Below are 18,695 nucleotides of genomic sequence, written 5' to 3' on the forward strand. Positions count from 1 at the left end.
CTATGAGAGGTTAAAGATGCATATTATAAAACCTTGAGGAACCACCAAAAACAAAACACTGAGTATAATGGAGAACAAATAGAACCATAAGAAAACACAAAATCCCCCAAATCATGGAGAATGACATCAATAGCAAAAAACTAAAAACAGGCAAAAATTCCCATTTTCAAAAAGGAAAAGAACATACTTCTGCAGGGCAGACCAAGGAGCTTAATGTCTACCTAGTACAATGTTTTGGTCACCAAGTGATGTCAAGGTGTGCACATTACACCTATCATATATTAAAACAAATCACCTCATGTAACTTTGACTTTCTTCGTTGACTGCAGAAGATAGAAAGACTGTATTTTATTTCAGCAAAGTATATGGCAAGCTGTCTCACAGAAATCCTTGAAACAAGCTGGAAAACATTCCAAAAAATGAAAATGGAGAAAGATTTCAAATGTATACTGCTAGGCTCTTTCTTCAGACCTGCCTATTTATCATATTAATAACTGACTCAGATGGTGCAGGTATAACACTCTTCAAACAGGCTGGTGACATAGTCATAAAGCAAAAACAAATACATTAAATAACATAATCCAGATTCAAAAAGATACTGAGAGATTGGACTGTTTAGTTGTGCTTAGCAAGATGAAATGTAATAGGAAAAATAGGTCTACATTTGGACCCCAAATCCAAATGTACAAATACAGAATGGAGAAGACAAGGTTTAGCAGAGAGCAGGGAGGGGGAAAGACTTCGGGATATTGACAGTCAGCTCATGATGAGTCAATTACATACGAAGAATGTGGAGTGACTGTCAAAACATAAATGTATCTAATGAGAGAGGTCACAATATTGCTATGTTTTAGTCATCCTACAAGGCTCAGAGTACAGACAAACTGAAAACTGCTCAGAAGAGTAACCAGGGTCAAATGTAAAACAGATAAAGAAACTTGATAGGCACAGGGGGAGCAGATTTGGCCTGAGGTAGTAAGGTTCACAGGTTACAAGAAAGCTGTCTTTTAATATCTTGAGGTACTCTCATACGCAAGAAATATTAGATTTATTCTAAGTAGAACTAGCACTAGCAAGTAGAATGTACACAAAACAAATAGCGTTTCAATATGATTGTGTGAGCTATTCAAGGATAGAATGAGCTGCATTTAGAGTTGAGTCTCCCTCATCGATGGCCAGATGACAAATTGGCAGGAATGAAGCAGAGGGGAATAAAGCATCAGATGGCTGGTGAGACCAGGTGACCTTTAAAATATCTTCCAATTCTAGTTCTATGATTCTATTTTTCTAGACTTTCTCTATGTCAAACCTTAAGCTCCAATCCAAATGGTTTTCTCACTGTTTCTGGAACAAGCTTTACACATGTACTTTCCTGTATCTATACTTACTTCCAGGCAATTTTCTCACTCAGGCAAAGACAAAGAATTTATCTTTCTAAATCTTATCCACTCATCAAGAATGAACCCAAATATTGTCCTTAATAAAGAATTCTATGCCTACCTTAATCTGATCTCTCTCTCTCCTCTGAATAATGAAACACTTCTAGGGCCATCCTTTTGGCAATTAATTACATACCACCCTTAGACTCCTCTTCTTATGTCTTAAACTGCTACTTAACTTTTTATTAATAAGCTCTCTCTTCAGCTAAATTAAAAGCTCCTTAAAGGTAGGTCTGAAACTTATATTTTGTATTCCCTCTACATCTAGGAGAACATAGTAGATGCTCAAAAATAGTCATTGGTTTTCAATACTGGAAACATTTTTATTAGAATAGTTGTTTTTATAGGTAAATGGAAAATCTACTGTTCAACTCTAGATACTAACATATATGACTTCCAGCTCAGATACAGAACTATCAGAATGAGATGCTGCCACCCACTGATAACAAATTCTAACCAGAGAATTTTTTAAAATGGTGAATCAAGCTTGAAAAAGTTCCAATTTTCCAACCTAAACATACAGCTTGGTAAAGATGCCTTAAAACTTCTTTTAAGCAAAGTAAGACTAACAGAACCAAACTAGAGAGTAAAATATGTTACAAACAAATAATATTTTAGAAAAAAATCCTTTTTATTTCTTTTCATGTAAAATGTATTAATGTGTGGTATGTACACTAAAATTTTGATTCATGTACCTTGGAACACAGCTTAGGAAAAAATAAATGTGTCATATATATGTCATATGCAGCCCAGAACATATACTTACTCCCTAAACAGCAACTAACAAACACAGGTCCTAGACAAAGTCAAAAGAGAATTCTTTATCTCCTTAGATAAATTAATAAAGATTATTAAATACTTACTGAAGATTCTGGGTCTGACAATTCATCTAATAATTTCCTTGCATCCACTACAGCTTGATAGAGTCTCAGATTTTTGCCATCAGAAGCAACAAAGCAAGCACTTGCAGAATTGCAGTATGTGCCTGAGAAAGGAAAACAAGGCCTCTGGGTTCTAAACATGTAGTGTATTTTTCTTATTGGCTAAAGGATAAGAAACAAGTATTCACATTTTTTTTAGGCTTAACCATGGTCTAGAATCATAATTAAACAGGCACAATAAGTAGATACAAAATTATTAACAAAAAGTTTAATTAAAAAATGGATTATGAGAGAAAAGGTTAAAAACTTCTGGAAGTTCTAAAAATCAGTCTCATGCCTGTATTCTGAATATTTATTAAAAATCACCTTAATGAAAACTGAATACTTATTAAAAATCTTAATGACAACAAATATAAACCATTTCGTATATAACAAATAATAGTTTAAAAGCTTGTGTTAATTTCACAATTACAATGAACACTTACCTAGACAGTAACTGGGAATGAGAGTTGGAAGCCAAGCCACATTAGAGAACGCTGAGGTATGTAAAGAGTTAATTCGAGCCAATTCTGATACTCCTCCAGTGTATGACAAAGGTCCTATTGGGTCTACACGCCACAGAATAAGTTCACTGTAGATTGCATTTGGGTCATGAAATGTACGAGTTGCTGCATTTCTAAGAGGTTGTTTCGAGGAACCTTTTATATGTTTTACAGGGTCCATTAATCTACTTAATTTATTGTCTGAGTCCCACTGACAATCTAATTCAGGAGTCAATAGAGCATTATGATGAGAGGATGTCAATAACAGTGGTAAAACTGAATGACATGCCAGGTCATTGAGGTGAAATCGATGACCGCAATATCTAAATTTGTGAGATACAGTTAGAACAGTGGTAAAGGCAGACTTATCAGCAAAAGTGACTGCCCACTGATTTAAAGAACCATCTATGTGTTTAGAGATCATCATTACTGTGGGAGCTAAGATGTTCATATGTGTACTGTGGGATCTAGAGTGTGGCTGTGATCCGTGAGGACTGCCTACAGACATCCCCTCCTGGTGTAACAGCGTGTGGTGAGAATCTTTTGTCGCATTTATACAGGCATACATCATGATATTTTTACTAAGAGAGCTTGCATCACCAGAGGGAAATGCAACAGGAATCCGAGAAGAAAAAGAAACCTGAAAAACATAATTATATGATTCAGTGCAAATAGTTTACCTCCTCTCAAAAAAAAGACTTCTATTCTCAAAATACCAAATCTCAGCTTCTTATCAAAAAATGTCATTTTCAACCTCTTTATGGTCCAGTCCCCTTGCTCTATTTAGGTAATACCATATCTCTATTCATGGCCTAAGAGAAGGCTGAAGAAAAAAAGTTCAAGTGCTTTGCTTGTACAACAAAATGACCACAGCCACAGATCTAAATAGCAATAAAGTTGAGAGAGATGACAAAGGCAGCTTCGTTTAGCTCATCAAATTGGCCACAAGGAGGAGCTCATCCTGATTCACATTTTCAGGGTAGTTTCTTAATCTTATTCAAAATATTATTAATTCCCTCAAAAATCAACACATATATTTAAATATTCAGTACTGCATTTCAAGGCCAAATTCATTATCTTCTAACTAATCAAGTTTGCTAAGCTTATGGTCACTGATCCCTTCTGAAAGAAAGAAGTATTCTTTACTCAGATGCTTATCAAAACCAAAATTTTCAGTAATTCTAAAAACATGCTAACTCTACAAAGCATTTATTTCTTTTTACTATTTTAAGAAATGTAATAACTATTTCATCAATAAAATATACCTGAACTTGTCTAAATATTCCAGGATTATATTCATCCAAATACTTCACATGCCACACTAGAAAGGTACCATCTACAGGGTGTATTGTAAAAAGCATATCAGGATTCTTATTCCATTCAGTTAGCAGCGTTTCAATCTTCCGATCAAGCAGAACCGTAGGCAGTGGCATTGGTACACTAAGTCGTGAGTAAGTTCTAGGACTTCCTTCTCTTTCTCCATCTTCATGTTCTGATGATCCTGTACCTGCCTCAGATTCTCTATCCAGGGATAAATCTGAACCAGAAAATATATTTATCAATACAAGCATTAAATAATTCATTTACATACTAGACTATAAATAAATGGCATACTATCTTTAAAAACTAAATCTCTTTTCCAATTTACAGTCAGAAAAAAAAACAAAGGAAACTTTTGTCTGAATTGAATGTTACTACAGTTACTACTTTTAGATAAATTAAAACTTCATTCACCCTATCATTATTACTACCATTTAGCAAAACCTGTTCCCCAGAAAAGGATATGGCTTCCAAAGAACATATAGAGTTAGATGATGTTTGCAGGGGCTAGCAGAGTACCTGATCCAAGGCAGATGGTCAGTAAATACTTGTGTAACAAATAGAAAAGTAAAAAGGAGGAAGAGCGGGAAGGAAGAATTCAAAACTAAAAGTGGTACCACAGAAAGCTGTTAACTTTGGAGTAAGTAAAATCTGAACACAGGATACTAACCATGGTCTAATTTCATATGTAAACCCCGTTCTCTATCCTCCTGTGAATGTTCCTCATCTTCTCTATCTGCATCATCATTTTCATGATCTACCTGCTTATCAGAAAGTTTTCGTAATTGATGCATAAATACTTCTGTAGATGATGTAAAATGAAATTCCTTGTTGTTTAACCAATGAACTACAAAGCCCCCATTTCCATCATCAACATTAAATGCAGTGCCAACCAAGACATTTGGAATATCTGTGGAAATAAAAGAGATTTCAATATAATTTTTTTTATTTCTTTAAAAACATGACAAGTGCTTACAATGACTAATCTATATAAAGAAAAGGTGCTAAACAAGTCAACATAATTTTAGCAGCATTTGTAAAAACTTTAACTGAATTTAATGGTAAATGTAAATCTTAAGAATTAATGATAGACATATGAAATTAAACTATTAACTTAAAAACAAAATACACGAATGCATCAACCTTCAGTGAATTCCAGTTTGGGGACAGGGGATGAAAAATTAAAGCAGAAAAGCAGCTATAAAAGAGATAACTAGAGAAGTTTAAATATGAACTGGATATTAGATATTATGGAATTACTTATCATTTTCTTAGGTATGATGATATTATGATTATGTGAGAGAATTTTAGGAGATACTTGCTAATGTAAGGGTGATACACCATGATAGGTGTAACTTACTTTGAAAAGACTAAGAAAACATTTCGACCATGTGCGGTGACTCATGCCTGTAATCCTAGCATTTTGGGAGGGAGAGGCGGGTGGATTGCCTGAGCTCAGGAGATCGAGACCAGCCTGGGCAACACGGTGAAGCCCCATCTCTACTAAAATACAAAAAATTAGCCCAGTGTGGCGGGGTGTGCCTGTAGTCCCATCTACTTGGGAGGCTTAAGCAGGAGAATTGCTTGAACCCGGGAGGTAGAGGTTGCAATGAGCTGAGATCACTCCACTGCACTCCAGCCTGTGTGACAGAGCAAGACTCCGTTTCCAAAAAAAAAAAGGAAGAAAGAAAGAAAGAGAAAAGAAAACATTTCATACACATACACACAGAGACATTTGCCACATATAAAGCAACTGTGGCAAAATGTTAACAACTGTTGAATCAAAGTGAAGAATATAAAAGTATTAACTGTACTATTCTTCCAACTTTTCTCAGTGTTTGAAACTTTACTAAATAGCTGTTGGGAAATAAAATCAAGAAAAAAACACAAGAAGGCAGGCAAAATTCTAAGTATAAGATAATTTCTCCATTTGAGGTAACTGAAATTTATGAAATTGATGAGTTCATGTAAGAGAGTATAAATTGGCCAGGTGTGGTGGCTCATGTCTGTAATCCTAGCACTTCTGAAGGCCAAGGCGGGAGGATCGCTTGAACTTAGGAGTTTGGGACCAGCCTGGGAAACACAGCGAGACACTGACTCTACAAAAACTACAAAAATTAGCCAGGTGTAGTGGCACACACCTGTGGTCCCAGCTACTCAGGAGGCTGAGGTGGTAGGATTGCCTGAGCCGGAGAGGTCAAGGCTGCACTCTAGCCTGGGTGACACAGCAAGACCCTGTCCTCCTCCGCCCAAAAAATGGTATAAATCAAAAACTTAATCTCCTTAATTTCAATCCATATTATAAATAATTCATTCAACAGAAGGAAAAATTGTCCTTTGCAAAAAGAAGTGAAAATCTAAAGATAAAATGCATGGACATTCTGGTAATGTTCTATTACAATAAATATGAATGTTAAATGCTCTAATTTGTTCTTTCTTTCCAGTTCCTGGATGACTATTCTGGTTTTGTGATAAAAATGAAATAAATCATATAAAATAGGATTTGTGAATTAGCAATCCTATAAAACACTACATCACCTATGTGCCTATGTAGTAATCTTGCTCAGAATGTTAAACCTAAATCTTATTAACAAATATTCAGACTGTGAGACATTTTGAAAGAAAACTGAGAGACAACTTTTTGAGACTAACAGATTTTTTTTTGACAATTGAGAAAGGGACTGTTCTAGATTGGAGGAATTTAAAGAAAATAATCTGCATTTAAGAAAGGAATCTATATTTGTATATGAATGGTATATTACATGATATTATTTTATCTATGTTCCTCACATGCAATAACAGTATTACAGCTATGGAGGCAAATTCCCTTTTTACTAAAAGATACATTCTTAAATATTTAGGTAATGGAAAATATTTAGGATAATTAGGGTATATTTAGGGTATTGTAATCAACAACTTTACTTTCAAATGGTTCCGTCAAAAATAAGGGAAGAGGCAGCAAAGACATATCTATACAGGCAGAGGAGGAGAACAAAAGAATAAATGACAAGATGTTAATATGTGGTAAATCTCGGTAAGTGGTATATGGATATTTGCTGTACTATTCTTTCAACTTTCTTGTAGTTTCAAAAAATTTTTTGAAAAAAAAGTGAAGAGGACAAGTCCTAACAATATAAAATTATTTGCATTTAGTAATCTATTTGGTCAACCTAAATGTTATATTTACATGCAGTAACTAAAAATGCATGATGTTAAACATTTTTAACAAAATTGTTTTTAAAATAATATGTAGGTAAGTTAGGATGAGCATGGATAAAATTAGTGAAGGTTAGTAAAGAAGATGGGGAAGACCAAGGCCCAATGGCTACAAGAACATATCCAGTCCTTAGGCTCAAATGATGTGACAGAATGCTCATCCTCTGTGATCCTATTCCATCTAATTAGGATAGTGTACACAGTTAAAAAGCCAAGGTTTCTAATATGTATTGAATTTAGTGCAGACTATCACGAATTGCATTTTGTTTTGAAGTTGAATTTTTATCACAGTAATTCAAGAAACGGTTCTTTTAAAAAGGTTAAAAATTCATAAAAATCTAAAACCACATTTTGAAAACAAATTATAAAGACATTCTTAGAATACAATTAAGATATTAGATAAGAAAGGATAATATAAGCAAAACAACATTTAATCAGATGGCAAAGCACTGCCCAACAGAAATATAATGCAGACCAAAAATGCAAGACATGTTAAGTAATTTTAGATATTTCAATAGCCACGTTACAAAAGGTAAAATGAAACAGGTAATAGTAATTTTAATAATATACTTTATTTGACTCAACATATATAAAATAGTATTTCAACAAGTAATCAATATGAAATAAAATTATTTATGAAATATTTTTCATTATTTTTTATACTAAGTCTTAGAAATTCAGTGTGTATTTTACAGCATATCTCAATTTGGACCAGCCACATTTCAAGTGCTCAAATAGCTAATACGGGGCCAGTGGCTACTCTATAAAACAGCACATATCTAGAGTTACCACTGCAGATCACCCTTTTAGAATTCTATTTACTAAATACTGTATTTACATACAGAAACATTTAAAAATAAAAGCCCCTTCACTCTGAAGCAACAGACCTCCAGTTCAATAACATACAACTATAACTTTATATAAAACTTTATATAGTTCTATGAGCAATGTAATATAAAATTTATAGCCTTTCTCCTACATTTCCATGTAGAAGGAAAACATATTGCCTTTAAATAGAAGCTCTCAAATATGCATTTGCCAACACAGAACCTGCCTCAAAATACTTCTCAGTCACATAGGGGAAAAAGGGAAAAGAAAATATTCAGGTTAGAAGGAAAAGTGTTTTCCTTAGTATAGGACAAGAAAGTCTACAAGGGTAGAAAACAAGATATGCTGAGATATAAGGAAAACTTTGTAAAAATATATTTAGAGGAGGTTATAAAGAAGAGTTGGGAAGATTTAAACTGTGAAGTGAGAGAAATTACACTAATTTACCAGGCTGCCACCACTTGTGATACCAGGTTCAATCACAGCTCTAATTTACTAGGAATGCTTGTTATAGTCTAGACAAAGATGCTCAGAAATAGTTACTGAAGTTAATACCCTGAGAATCACATAGTCCCAATCACATAGGCCCAATTCAAAAAATGGTACTTTATATTATATCTCTACTCCAATTAAGTATTTTAAAGGCAACATGAAATAATAAAAAACAGGTTATGAAAGTAGTTCCACTTTTCTATTTATTTACCTGACTTCAACATATTTATGGGAAATAAAACTTTATCCTTTACCTGTGGCAGGGTTGATGCTTGCTGCAATATGAAAATGACAGAGTGCATTTGCATGGTGGGAAATGTGTCTTTGAACTTCATGCATTGCTGTCTGGTCGGGCATTAATTCAGCATGAGTTACAAGAACAGATGACCTCCTCTGTCCTTTCCTTAAATTTTTCAAATGGTGTATTGTCTAAAATAGAAAAATAGTTGCTGAGTCCAACTCTGGAACCTCTAATAAATGCCAACCAAAGTACTCTTAATTATTAAGAGGTTTAAGATTTTTTTCTCCATAAAAACCTGATCATTTTAAAGGAAACTTTTTAAATTACAGTAGAACTATTTTGGATGTATTCTCTACAGTTCTTGTAAACTTTTAGTTCAAGGCAAAAAGCAGTGTGCAAAAATACTTATTCATGGTATCTATAAAACATGAATAAAGATTCCCGTTAATATTAGGAGGTCCAAAGATTTTTTTTTCAGGATATCCTAGTACTGAGACAGAATTTTCTAGTCATAAGAGTAAAAAAAAAAAATTCCTGAGTCTTCCTACCAGGAAGAATATTGCCTCCCCAATACTGCCTCTCACTTAGAATTAAACAGCCAGCTAAACAATCAAATTCATGATATCTATTACAAAGAACAAAACAGGGTATGAAAATACAGAATAACAAGGGGAACCTACTTAGATAGGAGTAGACAAGGAAAGACCTCATTAAAATGTTGATCTTTAATTTGTTTAAATTGTTTTAAACAATTTGCAATTTGGATATGTTTAAATAGAGATAAATCTATATGATTAAAATTCTTCATTAGCATGCGTGATCATGTGGACTATTTTAGTCATGGGGCCATGTCATTCTTGGCATTATCTTTTTTCTCCATATCACGGCCCCACCTCACAGTAATTCCTTATTCTGTAACTTAACCCACTCCGAAGACCATGTTTCATAATAATTTTTTATTACTTTCCTTTGTTCCCCACATTCAATTAAATAAAGTATAAAATGTTATCAATTCTTTCTTCATTAAAGTAACATAACTGGCACATCCTCTCAATTTCTACAGCCCTTCTCATTTTGCATATGGAAAACAGTATCAGGTCAATGGTGTGTCCCCCACCTCTGGTCTCCCACTACGGGGTTGCTCATTGCTTTGATAATAGGGTTAAGATTGACATTAGAGAACCCCTGGTCAAAACTGCCTATCAAATTATTTTCACTGGATCTTTGACATTAACCATCATTTTAAATTAGACTGACAAGACTGATCTAATACTGGCTATTTTCTCCTAGAAACAAAACATATAACTTAAGAATATATACAATTATATAGAACTAACAGTAAGGAGTTCCATAGGAAAGGATAGGATGTCAGAAAGCCAAGTGGCTCGTAAGTCAGACAATTACGTTTTTTCTTTTAAAAACTATCTTAACATATTAATTAATAATATTAATAAAAGACAGTAAAAACTTGTCAAATCACTGGTTACATATTTACTTATATTTCTGTTCTATTTTACATGGCAATAATTCAATTTAACAAACACTTGAAAAGCAATATATCAGGTACCATGGAGGATACAAAGATGTCTAAAAGCCCTTAGTTTCCAAAGGCTCATATATAATTTGAAGATAAAACACGTTACATAAGTATAAGTAAGTGATCACAAATATCTACTTAAAAATTAAGTACTTTGTCCTACTAAATATCAATATCAAAATAAAAGATAACTTTAACTGTTTTGACATCTGCTTTTAATTTCACTTACATTTTAAATATTGAAAAAAATGTAAAAATAGCGCCCAATCACAGACAGTGATATAGTTTAGATACTTGACCCTGCCTAAATCTCATGTTGAATTGTAATCCCCAATGTTGGAGGTAGAGCCTGGTGGGAGCTGTTTGGGTCATGAGGCGGATCCCGCATGGCTTGGTGTTGGTATTGCCTTTGCAATAGCGAGTGAGTTCTCATAAGATTTGGTCATTTAAAAATGTGTGGCACCTCCCCGCAACTCTCTCTTGTTCCTGCTTCCACCATGTGATGTGCCGGCTCCTGCTTCACCTTCTGCCATGGGTAAAAGATCCCTGTGGCCTCCCTAGAAGCCAACCAGATTCTGGTGCCATGCTTCCTATAGGACCATGAGCCAATTAAACCTCTTTTCATTATAAATCACCCAGTTTCAGACGTTTCTTCATAGCAGTGCAAGAATGGCCCAATACAGACAATACCTGAGGAGGCCTACTTCACATAAAACTTTTAAGGACCACATCCTTAACTTGTCAAAGTTGTATAATATTTCTGCTTGGTAAAATGGCAAAGCCACTTTGACTATGCAACCTTTAAACTGTCAATGTAAATATATAATGTAAAAGTATAGTCAATAATGTAGACTGTAAACAAATTAAGTATAAAAAACTTATAAAGTATTACTGCATAATATGATCTCAATCGTATAAAGAAAAATACACATATTCACAGGACTAGAATAGTTGAATTATAAATTCCGTATTTCTTCTCCTTTTCTTAATCCAATTCTAGAATAAGCATACAGTATTTGAATAATAAAAAACAGCCACAAGAAAAATAGTAATCTAAGTTTACTATAATAAATTTCTGACAATTCAAAATAATGCATATATCTCATTGTATTACCTAATCATATGGGACACAATCATTTGTGCTATGTGTTATAACGTAATTTCTTATAAAGCACTTTTATTTCATACTGTATTTAAAAATTATAAAAATTATTTCATTTTCAAAATCTTCAATCATGGAAACTCCAAAGCAGTTCATTTGTGTCTAATATCTTAATAAACATCTTTATTCTTAAGGAACAAAATAGTCATTTTTAACTAGAACAATAAGATTTTAATCTTTATGAAACAAAAGCAAAATATTTTTAATTACAACTAATTTCAAGGATCTTTACATATTTTACTAATACTTAGTCCCATAGATTTTCACATGTGACATGCAAAACAAAAGAATTAAAATAATATTATCTAGAACTTGAGCATAAAATATCAATTTTTAAAAAACTTTTAATAATATTTACCTATAAAACATGTCTGAGATCATTAATTTCTGCATTTGGCTTCTTAGTGGAATAAATGAGTAGTCTTACAAGCATAAATGAGAGTTTATTGCTATTAATTTCACTCATTACATGTACCATGTGTGCCATCTGCATGTTAGTTCATGAATTTCCACCAGGCTCACATTATCTTCAAAATTCATTTACCATTTTAAATAATATAATACCTCAAGAGCATGCTGTATTCTGTCTTTGTGTCTTCCAGCATGAGAAAGGCTGCTGGCAATGCTGGAAGTGGTAGTCTCACAAATCTGCTCACCCAAAAGACAGTCTTCTGGTAATAAAGTTTCTGCCCAGAGCCGGCACACACCATCATGACATGAAGTTAACAACACATTACAGACAGAACCCCTAACAACAAAGAGAAATAAATAAAGGTTAATGTGAATATCAATCCCATTAACTAATTAATATTTTGGTTCTTCATGCATAAAGATAACATTAGTGCAAAACACTATGGAAAAAAGGAATCAATCAAAGAGCTTGAAATCATATATAGCATCACTGTGAACATCATAAGAACCGGGAAATTGTTTTGAAAAAAGAAACAGAAATTACTGCCAGATTATACATTCAGGCTCTAGAGGATTATTAGTATCTCCTAAACAAAACATACAAACTAAACAGCAAAAGAAAACCTAATCATTGCAAATTAGAGAATGACCATAATAAAAGATCATTAAATGTAATTAAACTATCTGGCTTATGGCAGTAGTTTCATCACTTTACATCCTCCTTCCTATAACCCAAACAGTTACAAACAAATAATTATCTTCATCATAAAACTGTAAGGAGAATATAATTTCAAACTATAAATCCATTTCCATTAAGTTAAAATAAGCAAAAACGGCATGGCATGGAGCAGCTAAAGTAACTTACCTGTTTGTTACAAAGGAACAAAAAAATCATTCTCCCTTTAAAAAAATGCTCACACAGAATCTAAGTCAAAAGTATTCTGCAAATAGATGCAGATGACTTAAGCAGAATATATTTAGATTCAAAAAGTATATAAATTTCCCACATTATCATTTACTGAGCATCTCTACAATGTGTGCTATATTTCCTATCAGGCATAAACAATCCTCAGATATATTTAGTAGGTAAAATAACCCTCCCTCAAGAACAAACTAGATTTCTAAGCAAGCTTCTGAGTGCCCAACAGCTTTCTTAGACCTGTATATAATAAAGGAATCATTTGTATAAGCTTTTTTGCAGTTTATTTAATCTTCTAAATACCTTTAAGAGGTGCCACAATGATGAGGAAAAAATGTATAATAAAAAATCCTTTGAGAAGCTTCTGTTGACAGCTCTCAGATTTAAAAAAACAACAACAAAAAAAACACAACCTGGCCACTTTTTTCAGAGTACATTATATGCTTTAACACCATATACATAATTGACATAATACTGATCTATTTCCCTTCAATGTGTGCTTTCCTGTTATTTGCAAACATTTTCTTGCTAGGATCTGCTAGTACCACAGCTACTACCAACAATTTCATTGGCTGGACACAAAGTATGTGCAAAGGCCTGTACTAAGCACTTCCCACCCACAAACTACATTTTAGTTTCACAGTAACTCTCTGAGGTAGGTACTATTACTACCCTCACTCTACAGAGAAAAACTGAGGCATAGACAGCTTAAGAAATTTAGTCAAAAACTCATGAAGCTAATAGTAGGATTTGATTTCAGGCAGCTTGATGCCAGAGCCTATGCTATTAATTGCCACCATGTAAATAAAAGGACTTTATTTTCATTATTTTTATAAACATTTAAGGATGCAAACTAAAGCTACATGATTCATTCATCTAACCTGGGCATATACTTGCTAGTTTTGCGCCACGAAAAACCTGTCACAGCTCGGGGATGTGCCAAGTAAACAAAAGAAAATTGAGTAGAGGACTGTCTCCTTTTTACTTCATGATGATCCTGAGGTATAATTGAAGACTTCCAACCAGTCATAGGATACCACACTTTCAAAAGACAATCATCCTGAAAAATACATAGGTCAATATAAAATTAATTTGTACATACACAATTCAAAATTTAAGTGGTTTGAAGAAGTTTTAAAAATTAAGTTACATCTAAAAACTAATATGTGACTTATACATAATACAAAACTTATCTCAAAATTACATTACTTTAAAGAAAACTATTCTTGAAAAATAAATGAACAGTCTATTCATTATCAATCTTTTCTGTGTGATATTGTTTTTCAAATGCAGACTGATGCCAAATTCTCCCATTTAGACATAAATTGGTCAGTACAGAAAAAAGATTCTGATGCTAGCCCCTTGAATAAGTTAGTTAAGAAAGAATTAGAAAGATCCATGCTATCTTTTCAGTCATTGTTATCCTTTCCTTTTTGAAGTGGTCTTTAACAGTGAAGCCCTTCACCCTTCACCTCACGAACATGAATTGTTTCTTGCTCTATATCAAGAGTCAGCAAATTTTTCTGCAAAGGGCCAGATGGTAAATAAGTTAGGCTTTGTGGGCTACACAGGTCTATGACACAGATTCTTCTTTTTTTCTTACATCCCTTTAAAAAGGTAAAAAACATTCTTAGCTCTTGGGCCACAGTTCTCCGATCCCTACTCTAAGTGATGATAAAGAATGCATGGAGGTAGCTGTCAGGAACCACCTCAATGCCCACTTAAAATATTTACAAGTATAACAATAGGCACTGACTTAATCATTTTACTTAGTCCTAACAATTTAGTTAAAGGCTAAACAACTGTATTTTAACAGAAACTATCTTTTATAGTGCTTTATAACCAATAATAAAAACTGCATTAAAGGGAAATAATAAATGTTATCGCTTATGCAAAAATATAACCTCTGAGGAATTCTGCAATTATGTATTCCTGAAAAGTATGCATTGACCCAAATATTTTCATTTGGACTAGACAAACAATTCTGTTTTTTTCATCTTGGTACTCATTCTCAATTTGTGCTGCATAATGAAACAAAAATTTCCATTAATGTCTCTTTTTTTGGATATTTTAATTATACAGCAAATCTTTTAAGTGTTTGCCCTTAGACAGCCACTTAACAATGTACTAGTTGCTTTCCTCCAAGTATCTTCTTCAGCATAGCATCATTTTCACATAATCAAATTTACAGCACATTCTATGCAGTGGTTTCAGACTACGTAACAAAGAAATTCTACAGGTACCCGAGAGCCCCTCAAAAGTCACAATGGAAATACAAAGAGCCCCAGGAGCAGGTGATACTCTAGCCCTTCTCCCATTCCCACCAATCTCCCCCTCAAATGAAGCAGTCCCTATTTCATCTGTTATTGTCTAAAACTGTAAAACCACAACAAAATTAAGTAACTAGTAACAGAAAGTTATCTAGAAAATTCCCAAATATTTGAAAACTAAAAACTTCTAAATTACAGGGGAAATTTTAAAATATGTTGAAAATATGAATGAAAATGAAAGTACAACATATCAAAAGGGGGAGTTGCAGTTACCTGAGTGCATGAGGGAAATTCCTAGCTTTTTTTTTTAAGTTCACTTTTGTTTAGTGTTTTTGTGTTATTTATTTATTTAATCTCCATAGGTTTTGGGGGAACAGGTAGTGTTTGGTTACATGAATAAGTTCTTCAGTGGTGATTTGTGGGATTTTGGTGCACCCATCGCCCAAGCAGTATACACTGTACCCAATTTGTAGTCTTTTATCCCTCACTCTCCTCCCACCCTTCCTCCCTAGTCCCCAAAGTCCATTGTATCATTCTTATGCCTCTGCATCTTCATAGCTTAGCTCCCACTTATGAGTGAGAACATACGATGTTTGGTTTTCCATTCCTGAGTTACTTCACTTAGAATAATGGTCTCCAATTCCATCCAGGTTGCTGCGAATGTCATTTCATTCCTTTTTATGGCTGAATAGCATTCCATGGTGTGTATATATATATACCACAATTTCTTTATCCACTCATTGACTGATGGGCATTTGGGCTGGTTCTATATTTTTGCAACTGCAAATTGTGCTGCTATAAACATGCATGTGCAAGTATCTTTTTCATATAATGACTTCTTTTTCTCTGGATAGATACCCAGAAGTGGATAGCTGGATCAAATGGTAGTTCTACTGTTGTTCTTTAAGGAATTTCCAGAGTTTTCCATAGTGGTTGTACTAGTTTACATTCCCAACATCAGTGTAAAAGTGTTCCCTTTATACCACATCCCCACCAACATCTATTATTTTTTGGTTTTTTGATTATGGCCATTCTTGCAGGAGTAAGGTGGTATCGCATTGTGGTTTTGGTTTGCATTTCCCTGATCATTAGTGACGTTGAGCATTTTTTCATATGCTTGTCAGCCATTTGTATATCCTCCTTGGAGAATTGTCTATTGATGTCCTCAGTCCATTTTTTGATGGGATTGTTTGGTTTTTTCTTGCTAATTTGTTTGAGTTCCTTATAGATTCTGGATATTAGTCCTTTGTCAGATGTATAGATCATGAAGATTTTCTCCCACTCTGTGGACTGTCTGTTTACTCTGCTGACTGTTTCATTTACTGTGCAGAAACTCCAGGAAAGGACATGACAAAAAAAGGAAACCACAGACCAATATCCCTGATGAATATAGATGCAAAAATCCATAACAAAATACTAGCTAACTGAATCCAACAGCATATCAAAAAGATTGTCTACCATGATCAAGTAAGTTTCATACTAGAGTTGTAGGGATGGTTTAATATTCACAAGTCAATACATATGATACACCATATAAACAGAATTAAAAACAAAATCAAATGATCATCTCAACAGATGCAGAAAAAGCACTTGACAAAATCCAGCATCCCTTTATAATTAAAACCCTCAGCAAAATCAGCATAGAAGGGACAACCCTTCCCCTCAAGAAATCTTCTCATCCTAGCCCTTGCAAAACCCAGTTTTTCACTCAAAGGCATAATCTTCTCTCAAAGAAAATGCTGCCTTTTTAATTATAAATTGACAACTTATAATTGTATACATTTACATAGTATGAAGTGATGTTATAATTCACGAATATAACATGATAATTACATCAAGCTAGGTAACATATCCATCACCTCAAATACTTAATGTTTTTTATGGTGAGAAGACTTGAAATTTACTCTTAGCAATTTTAAAATATACACTATTCTATCACTAACTATATTCACCATGCTGCATGAGAACTCAAAAAAAGAAAAGATAAATTCCATTTTTTGAAGAAAACAGGATACTTTAAATTACTTGCAAATTTTACAAAATAACCAAGTGTTATTTTTTAAAATGTTCCAATACAAACTTTATGAACATAAACGAATAGAATTTCAGCAAACATCTCCTAGTAAGCGAACCAGAGAAAACCAATTCTTAAACTAAAGATTTAATCAGGTATGTCACGTTGGGTAGAAAAGGCTCTTTAGTAAGTAAGGCTTTATTTTAAGTTCAGATAGAAATTTAAAATACTCTTAAGCCTAAGAAAAATTTAATTTACCACATTTATAAAAAATAGATCTTACCAGCCAAAGTGCTCAATGGACCGTAATATTAAAAATCCTGGAAGTAATTGAATTTGAGTCTCACAACACCTGAAATAAAACCCTGTCATGTGTAGCAGAGGCGGTGGAAAATGCCTTCTAGTGGGAGATCCACAGTGACCATCTGTTTTATCAATTCAAATTTGGCTTTATTAACAGAAGCAGAACAGATTGTACCAAAAAAAAAAAAACTGCCCAACATTCCAAAGTTACTTTCTGTTCTTTTTATCAGGATAATCTTAATCAGATGTGGTATATTCTCAAAAATGTGAGAAAATAGCTTTTTCAATCCAAGACACATTTGCTTAACCTCCATAGGATCCTTACCAGAAAAGCATTATCTTTCCATAAGAATTATGAAACACTTAACTCTTAGGATAACTGGATATAAGCAGCTTAGGGAGACGTGACTAACACAATGAAAATAATACTCAATAATCTAGAAAATAAAATTTTTGTGGAAATTTTAACAGTTCATATGTCTCTTTCAGGGAAGGGTAGGCATCCTGTAGTTTGTATCAAGCTACTATTCTTAATTCAATCTAATTACATATATTTTACTATGTTTCATAAGAACCAATTATTATACATTTGATTATGTCCAGATACAGATTTATTAAAGAGCCACATTTCACTCTAAGCAAACTCAAGGGCTTTCCAACCATTCTCAGGCTTAAAAACAAAATCAGTCCTCAACGTACTAATAGATAATGATGATGTGCCATTAACTGCCTGTACAACTATGGAACATTTACAAGATTTACTCAAACAACAAGTATTTATTGAAAGAAGCCACTATGTGAATGGCTGGGGATATAGCTGAGGCAGAGGAAGAGACAGAAATAATAAAATACATTTCCTAATCCCACAGAGCTTATTCTTTAGAAAGGAAGGCAACATTAAGTAAGGATATAAATTATTGTTTTAATTACAATTGTGATAAGCACTATAAGAAAGAAGCAGAGGGCACCAGGAAAGTATTTAATAAGGAGACTTGACCTTGCCTGGGAGATCAGAGGATTTCTTAAGCAAGTGGTATTTAAACTGAGAGTTGAAGGATACATAAAAGACGACCAGGTAAAGAATAAGGAAGTCTGGGTATTGTAGGTATTCCCTAGACAG

At 33.5% G+C, this 18,695-nt stretch overlaps 1 protein-coding gene across 22 annotated transcripts in view; it reads right to left on the bottom strand.

The window, feature by feature from the left end:
• The window catches only part of DMXL2 (Dmx like 2), a 174,981-nt gene that overhangs the window by 85,570 nt on the left and 70,716 nt on the right, over positions 1–18,695 (bottom strand). For 21 of the 22 annotated variants that reach the window (NR_165648.1, NR_165649.1, XR_007064435.1 and 18 more), the window contains exons 7-13: positions 13,870–14,048; positions 12,223–12,406; positions 8,973–9,147; positions 4,853–5,092; positions 4,128–4,399; positions 2,806–3,502; positions 2,303–2,424 (exon numbers count right to left, since the gene is read on the bottom strand). Coding sequence is in view for 19 of the 22 variants with exons in the window: in NM_001378460.1 (NP_001365389.1) it covers positions 2,303–2,424; positions 2,806–3,502; positions 4,128–4,399; positions 4,853–5,092; positions 8,973–9,147; positions 12,223–12,406; positions 13,870–14,048 (1,869 nt within the window). In the remaining 3 variants the exon portion in view is untranslated. The remainder of the gene's footprint in view (positions 1–2,302; positions 2,425–2,805; positions 3,503–4,127; positions 4,400–4,852; positions 5,093–8,972; positions 9,148–12,222; positions 12,407–13,869; positions 14,049–18,695) is intronic. The other variant, NM_001378464.1, reaches the window with a different exon arrangement.

The sequence above is a fragment of the Homo sapiens genome, chromosome 15, assembly GCF_000001405.40.
Source record: "Homo sapiens chromosome 15, GRCh38.p14 Primary Assembly".
Taxonomy (NCBI): domain Eukaryota; kingdom Metazoa; phylum Chordata; class Mammalia; order Primates; family Hominidae; genus Homo; species Homo sapiens.